Source organism: Homo sapiens, chromosome 1 (assembly GCF_000001405.40).
Source record: "Homo sapiens chromosome 1, GRCh38.p14 Primary Assembly".
NCBI lineage: Eukaryota > Metazoa > Chordata > Mammalia > Primates > Hominidae > Homo > Homo sapiens.
In genome coordinates, this window is record NC_000001.11 from 239,386,258 (window position 1) to 239,399,940 (window position 13,683).

The following is a 13,683-nucleotide window of genomic DNA, read 5'->3' on the forward strand; positions in this document are numbered from 1 at the left end:
AGGGAAACCAATTTAAAAGCGAACACAACAAAACTAACAGACCGGCAAAATCTATCTTTGAAGCGCCGCGGGAGGCACAATTTGGGAACAGGTGAGGCCATGCTGGGTGGGTGAGGCCCCCCTCTCTCCTGCTTGGTGTTCCGCTTTCAGCCAACCCACCCCAGGAGTACCCTGGGATCTCCTCGCCCCCTGCCAGGCGGAGAACGCGGAGCCCAGCGGGCACGCGGGAATGGAGCTAGGCGCCGGCAGGGCAACTGGGCATGCTCAGAAGCCGGGCAGGTTTTGGTCTCAAGCACGCAGCCTGTGCATTACACCAGCTCTCTCAGTCCGGGGAGGAGGAGGAGCAGGAGGAACGCGAGGAGGAAGGAGAGGAGGAGCGGCCAGCAGTAGCCACGACCGCCACCACCAGGCAGAGGAAGAGTTCGTGGGGAGGAAAAGACCTCTCCTCCCCCTTGGAGCGCCTTCTCTCTGCTTTTGGAGAAAGGGAATACACGATAAAGAAGGAGACGGAAAGAAGAGAAAAAGTGAGGCGGGAGACAGAGGGAAAAGGGCGTGAACAGAAAGGGCCGGAGCGTGCAGGGGAGCACAGGGCGCGGGGGCGGCACTGCCGAGCCGGGAGCGCTGCCGCTTGGGCAGGTGCCGCGGCCGCTGCCCGGAGGCGGCATGTGACGCGCGGCCGCAGCTGCCCGCGGGCGGAGCGCTCTCAGACCCCGGAGCGCACACCGCGGGGCCATCGGTGCCATCGCGGATCTCCAGGCTCCTCATCAGTCCGCCGGGGCCGCAGCAGCGCTTCTGGGAAGACGGGCGATGAACTGAAGGGCGGCTCCGGGCAGGGGGGCACGATCTTAAGGACAGTCGCTCCCTGAACGCGGAGCCGGAGGAGACGAAGGGAAGGTGGAGCGGACGCCACCCGCGCACCGGGCAGGCGCGGAGACCGGCGTGGGACAGCCACCTGGAGCGCAGCTGCCAGGTAGGGACGGCGCCCGCCACCCAGGCGCTGGGCAGAGCGGGTGGCGGTAGCGGCTGACCTGGTTTCTTGCCTTATCTCGTTGCGAAAGGAGGAAAAAGTTTTCGGCGCGGGTAGGAGAGGTCTTGTGTTTGGAGTCCAAAGAAGGGGCTGGGTAGGGACGAGAGAGGCTGTTGATTTGGGGAAGATGGGGGCACTTGAATTCCGACAGCGCGATCTGGTGCGGAGTTGGAGTTCTGGGACTGAGGGTGGGGAACGCCCGCTGGCACTCAAGTGCCCCGAAAGGGACGGGAATCATGCGAGCGGTGGCCGGGAGAGAGTCGGGGACGTCCCACCCCGCTCTCCCTCGCTTCGATTCTCTCTTCGCCACTGCCGGATCTGAGGCTCCAAAGTGCCCGAGCATGAGGAGCTACTGGGCTCCGGGTGTGTTTGTGAGCGCACTCGTGTGTTGAGCGTTTGTCTCCCATCTCCCCATTTGGTTTCCTGTCATTTCTAAGAAGGCTAAAGCTGGCACCCGCCAACCTCGCAGTGGGGCCGCAAGTTCGGATTGCATTTCAGGGGGCGAGAAGGCAAATTTGGCACTTCGAGTAACACTTGGGCGAAGGTACCTAGCCTAGTGCGCATCTTTACTGACCCGGGGAGAGTCTGCACTCGCGAGGCAGCGGCCGCTGGACTGCACCGGTTCTCCTCTTTGGAACACTTCCTCAGCATAGCCTCCTAATAGCGAGGTTAATTTTTGCGTGTTTTTAAACGGCGGGGGCGGGCGGACAGTTGACTCCAGCAGCAGAATTCACTTGTCTACTTCGCGGTGTGCGTGCTGGAATTGAGATCCTGTTCTGCATGCTTGTGCGTGTGTCCGACTCTCCTTGCACGCATTTGGAAGTGGTAGAGGCAGCAGGGATTTGGGAACTGCATCCATATGGATAGGTTTCAAGAATGCAAACCTTCATTTGTCTGCAAGTGTTACTGGAACCTGTCCAAAGGCTGCAAGGATATGTCCCCTCGATCCCCGCCAGTGTCCGTGTTTGCAATGTGAAAGGGCGGCCCTCTTTAGGACAAAAATGTATTTATCAAAGCGATGTGTGGTTAAGAACACTGGTTATTTCACCATATGCTTTGCACAGACTTTTCCTTTCTCTCTTGCCCTCTGAGTTCCAAGACAGATAACCTGTCCCCTCCCCCCATTTTGACCTTTGTAGGTTACTATTTGAAAAATAATTTTTAACTGGGTGCAGTGATTATATAGTCCAGATAATTTCATATTGTGAGATCGTTATATCGCATGAACCATTCATCATTATTTCCTGTGTTTAAAACAATGCCCATGTATTTACTTAAGAGAGACTATGAACATATAGTTCAGAAAGGGGAAAACTAAACCTAGAGCAGATACCTGCATATAAGCGTATTGTAGTGGTAGCACGTTAATAAAAAACTAAGGTATTTCTGTTCCAAATATTGTGGGATAGACGAGGTGTTGAGTGCACCCTCTTGTTATAAGAGCTGATATCCCGAAGTATACATGTGCAAGGAACATGCCTGCTTCTTCAGTGTGCATTCCAACATGCCACAGAAATGTGGTTTACATCATAGCTTCTACCGCCGAATAGTCTATCTTTAGATTTTGTTTACATGGTTTGTCTCAATTAGCTTAATACATAATTAGCTATTGTTGGGCTAGAAAGCACGTTATTTTTGTAGTGGTTTCCATATGGAAATATAACGTTCGCTTAATTACTAATTTAAAAATAATGACATTGCCGGTCGGATTTAGAATGTTTCTCTAGGTTGGGGGGTATTATGAGATCGAATGTAGCACGAAAATAGCAATGTCGAAATATTGTTTTTTAAATAACGTTGCGTCATTAATCGAATGAACATGACAGTTGAAAAAGAAAATGAGATAAAAAGTAGACTTTGAAAAATCTTTATAAATTTTCTGTGTGGAAAATTATTGTAAGGGAAAAATGTAATTTGGGAAAAGGAGCAAATGTGGAATTGGTCAAGTTTTAAAGAAAGAACAAGTGTTATAATGAGTAGTTCTGTATTAAACCTACATTTAAGCTTATTTAGGAAAGTTTGCTTTAAAATTTAGAGAAATCTATGATGAATATTCAGTACCCTACTTTTATTCTGGGGTAGGGGGAAGTAAAATGTCACTTCAAAAGTATTATTTACTTCTGAAGATTATTTAGGCATGTGTAAAAGTTCTTTAGAGTGTACCTTCTCATTTTTTCCTTATAAAGACAAATGATTTAATTTCTTAACAAAGAAAATTTGTTATAAATTAGAGTATGTAAAAATGTGAAGTTCTTTTAATGATATTTTAGCCTTTAATTGCAGGCAACCTGTTGAAAGAGGGCATGGAAAAAATGTGAAATTGGCAGACATAGAATTTCTTAGATTCACACTTGTAAATTGAATAGACAGAAAGTTAAACGATATGGTTAAAAGCAAAGTTGCCTTATGTATTTGTAAATTATAAAGTAATACATATTTTCAGATTTTTAGTTAAAATCTCTGTCATTTTCCCAGCCAACATATTGTTCTTGCCTAATAACTTTGTTAACATTGGCAAGCTCAGTTGCTTACTGCTAAATGGCCTGGACGATTCCAGTGTGACTATTAAGAAATTGGGTCTTGTTTGCAGTGCCGGGAAGTTTATACTGGGAACAGCTGTGGTGTAGTGGCACTTTAGATAGGAGATGAATGAACCGTGAATCATATGAAGATGGAGACTGATCAGTATGCAGAGAAGTGTATCTGTCCTTCACTTATGGAACCTGATTTTATATCATATGATGACTAATAGCATTATTCTCACAGTGTGATTTTGGAGGATCAGTGAGTAACTAGAGATGTTGTCTTTTATGTTTGTGAATTTAAAATGTATTCTCCTTACATAAGACTATTGTAAAAGGTATCTATGAGCTTAATAAAATTGTAATCAAATCCCTCTACCACGTTTACTTTTAAAAGTTAATCAGCATAATAAAATGTGCCTTTATGCTTAATTGTTTAATATAGTGTTTTCCTAGATGCAATATATTTTTCATCTATAAAGTTCAGCAAGTCCAGCAGAAGCCCTGTTCTGAAAAATTACTAGCCTTTCAGAACTTTGGAATAAAATTTCAACATCAATGGAAAGTTTTAATTTTATGAAGAGATAATCTAATGTATATGACAGGAGGCAAAATCAGTTAAATTAGAAGTTAGTTTCTGGTGTCTGAAAGGCCCTATCTTCTCCATTAGGGAATATATCTTTGTTCAGATCAAATGCTAAGCAGAGTATTTCTTCAAATCACTCATCACTGCATTGCTCCCTCTGCCCACCCTCCACGGAGAGGGTGTGCAGGTATGAAAGGCTTCCCTCACTTTTTTTTTTTTTTTTTGAGATGGAGTCTCACTCTGTCGCCCAGGTTAGAGTGCAGTGGCATGATCTTGACTCACTGCAACCTCCGCCTCCCAGGTTCAAGCAATTCTCTGCCTCATGAAAGGCTTCCCTTTTCATCAGTGAACTAGCACCTGGAGAGCTCTGTTAGCCTGCTACCTTCCCTAGCAGTTGCATGCCCCAGACAGTATAGATCTCCATTAGTGTTGTCTTCAATGCAAGAAATAAAAATAATTTTGGTCTGGGCACAGTGGCTCATGCCAGTAATGGCAGCAGTTTGGGAGGCCAAGGCAGGAGGATTACATGAGGCAAGGAAATCAAGATCAGCCTAGGCAACATAGCCAGACCCCATCTCTACAAAAAGTGTAAAAACTTAGCCAGGCATGGTGGCGTGCACCTGTATTCCTAGCTACTAAGGAAGATGCAGTGGGAAGATAGCTTGAATGCAGAAGTTCGAGACTGCAGTGAGTCAGGATCATGCCACTGCTCTCCAGCCTGTACGAGAGTCTGAGACTCTGTCTCTACATAATCATCATCATAATAGTAATTTTGGTTTGGTGAAGCAATTGAAAATATTAAACCATAATGTGGCTTATGTGATAACTGTGTGACCTCAAACATTTCATTCCCCACTGTACACTTGAAGACCATAGTAGTTGCCCTGTCCATACCATGGATTGGTTTTGAGAATCCAGTGCATGTGGATGTGCTTTTTGAACAAACTCTGAAATGCAGTGCTTGATTGGAACCCAGAGCCCCCTCAGTACACCATGATGGACAGCACTGAGCGCCAGTATGTAGTGGCCCTCTGGCTCAGTTTTTGGCCTCTGTGTGTTGTTTTCTATCCAGAAGTTTTGGCAGCTTGCAGATTCCCCAGCCTCTGGCAGGCTCTCTCTTTTAGGCTGGCGATCTGCATTCTCCCACCTGTTGGAACTTCCCGCTCATCCCCTCCTGAAGGCCAAGGACTCTGGCTGACGTGCACCTTCTTAGCTTCCTCTGCTGAGGCTGCAGCTGCAGCTTGCCACATTGACACAGACCTAGGGTCCAGTAGTGATGACAGGAAGTCAACAGAAGGAATATTCTGAGCCCCTGCCAGCTTCTCACCAATTGTGCCAGTTCATCCTGAAGCCATCCGGAATATGAACACTTTGAGAAAAACAATGGTGGCCAAAAATTAAAAACAAAAAACAAAAACCAATTTGATAAACAGTAGCTGGCAGATGCCTTGTGGGCTTTGAGACCTTGCCTTTCCAAGCCTGCTCTGCATGGGACTCAGGAGCCTGGCCCTTCTGATTCCACAACCAGTGCAGAGTCTGTCCTAACCCTAGTGAGCTCTAGCAATTCTCATGCCCCCCTCACCTCAGTTTCTCTAACTCCTGTCATATTTACCATTTCGTAGGACTAGGATTTTATTGAGTTTTCAATTTGCACTTTCAGTACTGGATTTAATGTCTGGCCTGGGAAAATTTTAGCTATGACCTTGGCAGTCAGCCTCGCCCTTGCCAAGAACTTCTCTCCAGGAGCAAGACCCCTTTCTTTCTATTCTGTCTCTGATTCAATCTCAGTGTGACAAACCCTTGGACCTAAGGCACAGCTCCTCTCCTGACAGTGCATCATTTCCGCCTGAGACTTGTAGTGCCCGGTTCCACTTGACAAATAAATTCTCCTTGTCTGTCATTGTTGGCAGGATCAAATCTCAGTTCTCCACACCTCTCCCAAGCAATGTAATTTGAGTGGCTGACTATCCACTACAGAATTAATCCTTCATTAGGTCATTTGTTCTAGCCCAGTCCTAGCCTGCTTCCTGTCCCCACTGTTCCCTTGAAATTTGGCATGCCAGCTGAGCCATGACATCGTCTACCTTCTGTCACCTCTAGCACAGGAAGTGGTGCTAATGTAGACATCCTGGTTCAGGCAGGATATCCGCCGACTACTGCTGTTCAGATAAAATTCAGGTGAGTTTAAACCAAGGTGAAATACTTTCAGCCTGTTTTGGAGAGAGTTCCCAGAGAGAGGGGCTACCAAGTGTGTACTTCCCTGCATTTATGGCTGTGAAGTGTTTTGGTGCTCTTCTACTGAAGCCTTCTAATTTACCATAGGTAGCTATGGCTATAGACATAGATACATATAAAAATATTCTGTCACTAAACTGTAGGAAAAAGGAGCTGCTAACAGCCTTTGTCTACATTTTTTAAGACTTGTCACTTTGGAGTACATTTTCTCCCACTAGAATTGCCCATGGGATCCAGACTGGAGGGAAACCTGGTTACTGCTAACTATTAATACATACAGGCCAATTCTTGCCCACAGCCATTTGACATTCCATCGAGCTAGCTCTCACTTCCATTGAAACCTAATCCAGTGGTATTTTGTAGACTCACAATCCATATAAATTTTGGCTGAGCATAGTGGCATACACCTGTAGTCCCAGGTACTCGGGAGGCTAAGGCAGGAAGATCACTTGAGGCCAGGAGTTCAAGGTTATAATGTACTATGATTGCACCTGTGAATAGCCACTGTACTCCAGCCTAGACAACATAGCAAGACCCCCATCTCTTCAATAAAGAAAGAAAGAAAGAAGATCCCATATAAATATTAAATATTGTTGGGTTTTTGGCTTCAAATTGACAATATGTTGATGACTATATTTAAATGTATATCCATAGTCATTTAAAAATGTTATTGAACACAGTCTTTTTTGTGATTTTTCAATTTTCTTAGTGCAAAATAGTCTAAAAGCACAACTTCTGTTGTGGGAGGTCTCTCAAACGATTTACATTGAAAAGAAGTTCTCATACTTGAAATAGACGTGATGATCCTCCTGCCGTGTTTCCTGTGCTTTCTCACATGCCCGATAACACATGCCACATGCAGTAGCTTGTGTGAAGGGAGAGGTGATGGGAATCTGGAATGGCCATGATGTTTCTTTATATGGAGTCCTCCTTTCTTCTCTCCTCACCCCAGATCCTTTCCATCATGCAAGGACCAGCCAAACTCTTCCAGCTTTCCTTGAGCGCAGCTATCATTCTGTTTTTCCCTGTGACTAATTATTTTAAATCCCTTGATTCATTTGAATGTTAGAAACTGAAAATCGGTCTGACTAAACAACTACAAATCACTTCCCTCTACTCTGAATACTAGTGGCACTCACCATTTTTAATATAAAATTTGATGCTCAAGGATAACCCAGGTAGTATTTATTTTGATTCTCTCCAAAGAAGTTACCTTCATGAGAGTATATAAGTAAATATATAATAAATACATGTTTGAGTAGAATGAGTAAATGACTCAATCATTCCATCTATCTACCTATCAATTATCTATCTCTTTATATCTAATCCACCTATGTTCATTTACATAGGTGTTGTATATACATCCATTATCACATCTTTCATATCAGTATCATCTAATGTGCAAAGTACCATGGACATTCTGTTTTGGATACACAGTAAGTCAAGGGCTCTGCTTTTCAGAGCATATGATCAATGTGAGTGTAACTAAACAAATCTGGGTTGGAAGGGGATGTTAGATGTTGCGTGAATTTCTTAGGTTTTAAAACAGAAGTTTATTCTTTCACAATTCTGGAAGCCAGAAGTCTGAAATCAAGGTGTTGGCAAGACTGCACTTCCTCTAAAGACCCTAGGGGAGAATCCTTCCTTTCTTCCTTCAGCTCCTGGTAGCTATCTGCATTCCTTGACTTGTGAGCATATCATTCCAATCTCTGCTTCTGTGGTCACGTTGCCTCCTCCACCTCTTTCACTGTCTCCTCCTGTATATGCCTGTCTTATAAGGATATGTGTGATTGCAGTGAAGTCCCAGCCAGAAAATCTAGGATAAGCTCCTCCTTTCAAGAGCTTTAACTTCATCACATCACATCTTTTGTCATATAAGGTAATCACAGAACCTGGGGATTAGGAGGTGGGCACATCTTTTGGAGGGACCGCCATTCAGACCACTGCAGATGTCATTAATGAACAACTTTTGGCTTTGGACCTCTCTCTTGTGTTAAACTGTGCAGTCTGTATGTTTGAGAAATTAACACTCACCAGGGGGGTCATTCCATTTTCACAGAGCAGTGAGATGCAGATCCCCTTTATATTGAGCCAAAAATCTAATTCTCATTGTACTTATTTGCCTTCTTAATAATTCTGAGAATTATGATGAGAACACTTCTGATCTTTCTTCCACAAGAAAATCTTTAAAGTTGAGAAGTTTAAAGTTATTTCAACCTGGTCCTATGTGCCACTTCTAAATTTTCATGATTTTTCTTAACCTTTTCAATTACACTCACCGAACAGCAATCACACTCCCCTAATCTCATTACCCTCTGACTTTAAATCTTTTGACTCCTCTCATCCACCTTCATGAGGTTTATAGCAATGACTTCTCCAAAAGTCACCTGTAACCTCTTAGTCATAAAACGGGTAGCCCTTCCTTGTCTGTCCTGGTTAATCTCTTAGCAATCCCTTTAAACTCCCTTAATTTTCAGAGAATTATACCTACCTAGCTCTCTTCTCTCCTCTGGTTCTTTTCTCTTCTTCCTGTTCCCCACCCCTATTTTCTGCAGAGTGTAGGGCTTTCCAGCAATTTCTCCCTGGTTGACTCCCATACTCTTCCGTTGCCTCTCCTTTTGTACCTGCCTCTGTCTTCACGATTTCAAATACCCTTTCCATGTGGGTCACTTGGCTTCAGTAAGGAGCATTTCCATGTGCTTGCTGGATAGCACAGCCTTCCCCTCCTTCTTCCTCATCCTGTTCCCCTCCTGGGGTTCCTATTTCTATGAATAGCATGACCATCCTACAGCTCAAATGTTATGAATAAATCAAGTGATCTTGATTTATTCTCTTCCCTCACCTCCTACATTTAGCCAGGTACCGAATTCTAATGATTCAACCAAGTAAGATCTCAACCTTCTTGGCTACTTTCCCCTCCTGCTACCAATATCTTAATTCATCATTTCTGCAACTTAAATGTGCATTCAGATCACATAGGGATCTTGATAAAATGCAGACTCTGATCCATGAGGGCTGGGTTGGGGCCTGAGAATCTGCATTTCTAACCAGCCTTCAGGTGATGCAGATACTGCTCCTCTGTGCTCAGACCACACTGAGAAGAAAGGCTTTATGTTTTAGCTTTGTATCTTTTCTTAGTCTCTGAGCTTCCCAGATGATCTCATTGATCATATTATTGCCTTTGATCCATTTTACACAGATTACTGTTATTGAGGACCAAATGTGATCATCTTTCTCCTACCCTTGAACACCTTCTTTGACATCACCTTCCATTGCCTGTTGAATAAAGACTAAATGTCTCGCATCAGCTTCACCCTATTTCATGGCTTGGGTTTGCATGTTGAGTTCAGTCTCAAGTCTCAAGGTCACCCTTCACTTTACCCTGGTACTTGCTGTTGCAGGTATCCTCATCCTCTGCCACGTTCTCTTGCTGCATAGGATGCCCTTTGTGCCACATCATCAGGGATCCAAATTTTAGCAATTTGTCAAGGACCACTTGAAACGAATTCATCTTCTGTTACTCTATCAGAATCTCACTTTTATCCCTGATTACATTCACTCTTGGTTTTAGTGTGTGTGTGCCACAAATTGTTTGAAATATCAGACTGTGAACTCCTTGAAAGATGCTGTGTTTTGTTGGTCTTTGACTGCTTTCAAGTATCTAGTGCAGAGTCTTCTTCATAAATGCTCAGTGTGCACATTCGCATATAAAATATGTAAACAGGCACAGTGGCTCACTTTGGAAGGCTGAGGTGGGAGGATGGTTTGAGGCCAGAAGTTGAAGACCAACCTGGGCAACTTAGCAAAAAAAATCTCTACAAAAATTATTAAAAATCAGCTGGATTTGATTGTGCACCTGCCTGTAGTCTCAGCTATATGGGAGGCTGAGGCAAGGAGGATCCCTTGAGCCCATTAGTTCAAAGCTGCAGTGAGCTGTGATGGTGCCACTGCACTCCAGCCTGGGCAACAGAACAAGATCCAGTCTCGAAAAGAGTAAATATAGTGTTTTTGTTGTTTGTCTCCTTATAAAAGTAATATATGTCATACAAAAATTCAAACATTATGGAAATATATATCAAAAGTAAAAGTCCACCATAACCCAATGCCCCCAAAGACAACTATGGTTAACAGTTTGATGTCACGACAGGATTGCCTCTGATATTTTTCTATACATATTCTAACATTTACTCTATACAAAACTGGGATAATAATAGACTCTTGCAACTTGACTTTAAATGTAAATCTATCTCCTCTTCTTAAAATCTGCAACTTATTCCAAAAGATTGACTGATTTAACTGCATAAAAACCAATCTGCTTAAAATGGCCTAGCAATGTAGAAATATGTTTGCTTTGAATTTCTGATCACTTAAATATGCCTTTATTCAGCAATTTCTCTCTCTGCTCCTCAGATTGTGCTAGACTTCGGATCTGTAACAGTAAGACACAAATACTACCCCGGAAGTTCCAAGCTATACTTATGTCTTTAGGCTAATGTTGAGTGATGAACTGCGGGTGAAGTAGTAATCATTTATCTTTGATGACAAGTTAAAATTATCATATTTGATGACGTGAACTCTCAGATTGCAATTTTATACTGAAATGTAAGTTTTCAAATTATTTTGCTCCATAAAGAATAGGTGACTCATTTTGAATTCTGAATGTGTACATATTTATCTATCATCTAACACACATATGTATAGGTATATTACTTTTTGTTCCATTAATGAATATAAATTTGAAATAAAAATATAGAAAATGTTGTGGCCGGGTGTGGTGGCTCACGCCTGTAATCCCAGCACTTTGGGAGGTCGAGATGGGTGGATCAGGAGGTCAGGAGATTGAGACCATCCTGGCTAACACAGTGAAACCCCTTCTCTCCTAAAAATACAAAAAATTAGCCGGGCGTGCTGGCACATGCATGTAGTCCCAGCTACTTGGGAGGCTGAGGCAGGAGAATCTCTTGAACCCGGGAGGCAGAGGTTGCAGTGAGCGGAGATCGTGCCACTGCACTCCAGCCCGGGCAACAGAGCGAGACTCTGTCTCAAAAAATACATGTATTTATATATATATATATATATTTCTATAAAATATATAAATATATATTCTATAAAAATATATCTATATATATTTCTATATATATATAGAAAATGTTGTAAAAGATATACCAAAAATTTTAGTGTATTTAATAAAACTACAATTTAGGAAGAAGCAGTGTGAAAAACAAAAGGAAAATGTTATGTGAGCCGTGTCTTAGAATGCCAGTAACTGGGGGCACACAATAAAGCATTTGTTGAAAAGAAAATTCTTTTAGAAGTAAACATCAATATTCCCTTTGAAATTTTGGAGAGATAAGTCTTCATAATGATGAATGTTTGTTACTGATACCATATTTGTCATTTAAGAAATAGTTCTGTTGTGGAACTCGGGAAGGTCATTTTCCTGGGTAGAGGGAGGACAGGAGTATGTTTGAGGAACCTAGAGATAGCAGCAAAGGAGACTGTATCTTATGAAGAAGAAACTTAAAAGTAGAATGTAAGACAATAAAAGATTACAACTTTGAATCAATAGGAGACTTTTGCAGTCTGGGTTAGTGAAATTATATAAATAATGTATTTTTTTCTTTTTGAGATGGAGTTTCGTTCTTTCACCCAGGCTGGAGTACAATGGCATGATCTTGGCCCACTGCAACGTCTGCCTCCTGGGTTCAAGCGATTCTCCTGCCTCAGCCTCCCAAGTAGCTGGGATTACAGGCGTGTGCCACCACGCCTGGCTAATTTTTGTATTTTTGGTAGAAACGGGGTTTCACCATGTTGGTCAGGCTGGTCTCGAACTCCTGACCTCAAGTGATCTGCCCGCCTCGGCCTCCCAAAAAGTGCTGGGATTACAGGCATGAGCCACCACGCCTGGCCAATATAAAGAATATTTCTACATCTTCTATCAAACCCCTGAAGATTTTGTCCATTGGTATAGTTAATATGTCTCCTCCCATATGGATTGTGTGTTTCCTGTAGAATTTAATACAAGTGAAAATTGAACCTCCTTTGGAATAATAAGAGCAATTATCTGATAATAAAATTAAGGCATATTTATTTCATTTTTGCATTGGCTGCTAGGAAACTTAGACCTAAAAATAACATTCAATCACAGTGGACAGTTTTGCTTGGTTTTTCTGTATATTACTTCCCTTTTGTTTTAGGATTTTTCTTAACCTTTCAGTTTTAATATAAGCATTCTCAGATTCTCTTTGGAAGGCAAGCAGGATATAACTTGGAAATGTATAGTCTAAAATTATACCCACAAAAAAATGCCCATATATTAAGGTAAGAAAAAAGAAAAAGAAAGGAAGTGAATACTTTGAAAGCAGATTAAAAAAGAAAAAGTAATATGTTGGAACCAAGGTCTCTTTGAAGGCCTGAAGACCCCAGGAACCACCATGGGCAAAGAAAGTAACTTTTAGCCAATGCAAGATATCCTGAAGAAAGAACAGGTAACGATGGTGATGATGATGATGACTGCTGATAATTATAATGAATTATAAGGCTTCAGATTTTCAGACAATATCTCATTGAATCAACAGCCCTCTTTTTTCATGTATAGTTGACAATTAAACATTATATATATTTATGGTGTACAGTGTAATGCTTTGATATCGTGGTACTTTGTGAAATGATTACATCAGACTAATTAATATATCCATGACCTCTGATTTTTTTTTTTTTTTTTGCTGTGAGAATGTTATAAGATCTATTCTCTTAGCAGTTATCACGTGTTAGTTATCATTAACCATAGTTATCATTGTGTTGTACAATAGATCTCTCAAACTTATTCATCCTAAATGAAACTTTGTACCTTTTGATCAACATCTCCCCAACCATCACCCCTTCCCTGTCCCCGCTGGAAACTCCCATTCTACTCTTCATCTATAAGTTCCACTTTTTGGGATTCTGCATGTAAATGAGAAGATGTGGCATTGGTCTTTCTGTGCCTGACTCATCTCACTTAACACAACGTCCTCCAAGTCCAATCATTTGGTTGCGGAGGAAGAATTTTCTTCTCTTTTAAGCGTGAATGGTATCTATTGTGTATATATACCACATTTTCTTTCTCCATTCTTCTGTTGATAGACACTTAGTTTGGTTCCATATTTTGGCTATTATGAAGAGTGCTGGAGTGAATATGGGAGTGCTGATGTCACTTTGACATATTGATTTCAATTCCTTTGGATGTATACCCAGTAGCGGGATTGCTGGGTCCTATGGTAGTTTTATTTATTTATTTATTTTTATTTTATTTTACTTTTTTGAGACAGAGT

General features: G+C 42.1%; 1 protein-coding gene across 26 annotated transcripts in view, besides 2 other annotated features; it reads left to right on the top strand.

The window, feature by feature from the left end:
• The window catches only part of CHRM3 (cholinergic receptor muscarinic 3), a 528,883-nt gene continuing 515,510 nt past the window's right edge, over nucleotides 311-13,683 (top strand). For 25 of the 26 annotated variants that reach the window (NR_164748.1, XM_047443115.1, NM_001375982.1 and 22 more), the window contains exon 1: nucleotides 311-970. The gene's annotated coding sequence lies outside the window, so the exon portion shown is untranslated. The other variant, XM_047443119.1, reaches the window with a different exon arrangement.
• Nucleotides 1,033-1,533: an enhancer, noted in NCBI's record as "H3K4me1 hESC enhancer chr1:239550590-239551090 (GRCh37/hg19 assembly coordinates)". NCBI's record gives its function as "activates a minimal SCP1, AML or CMV promoter by ChIP-STARR-seq in naive H9 embryonic stem cells {active_cell/tissue: H9 hESC(naive)}" and the evidence as "EXISTENCE:reporter gene assay evidence [ECO:0000049][PMID:30033119]".
• Nucleotides 1,534-2,034: an enhancer, noted in NCBI's record as "H3K4me1 hESC enhancer chr1:239551091-239551591 (GRCh37/hg19 assembly coordinates)". NCBI's record gives its function as "activates a minimal SCP1, AML or CMV promoter by ChIP-STARR-seq in naive and primed H9 embryonic stem cells {active_cell/tissue: H9 hESC(naive and primed)}" and the evidence as "EXISTENCE:reporter gene assay evidence [ECO:0000049][PMID:30033119]".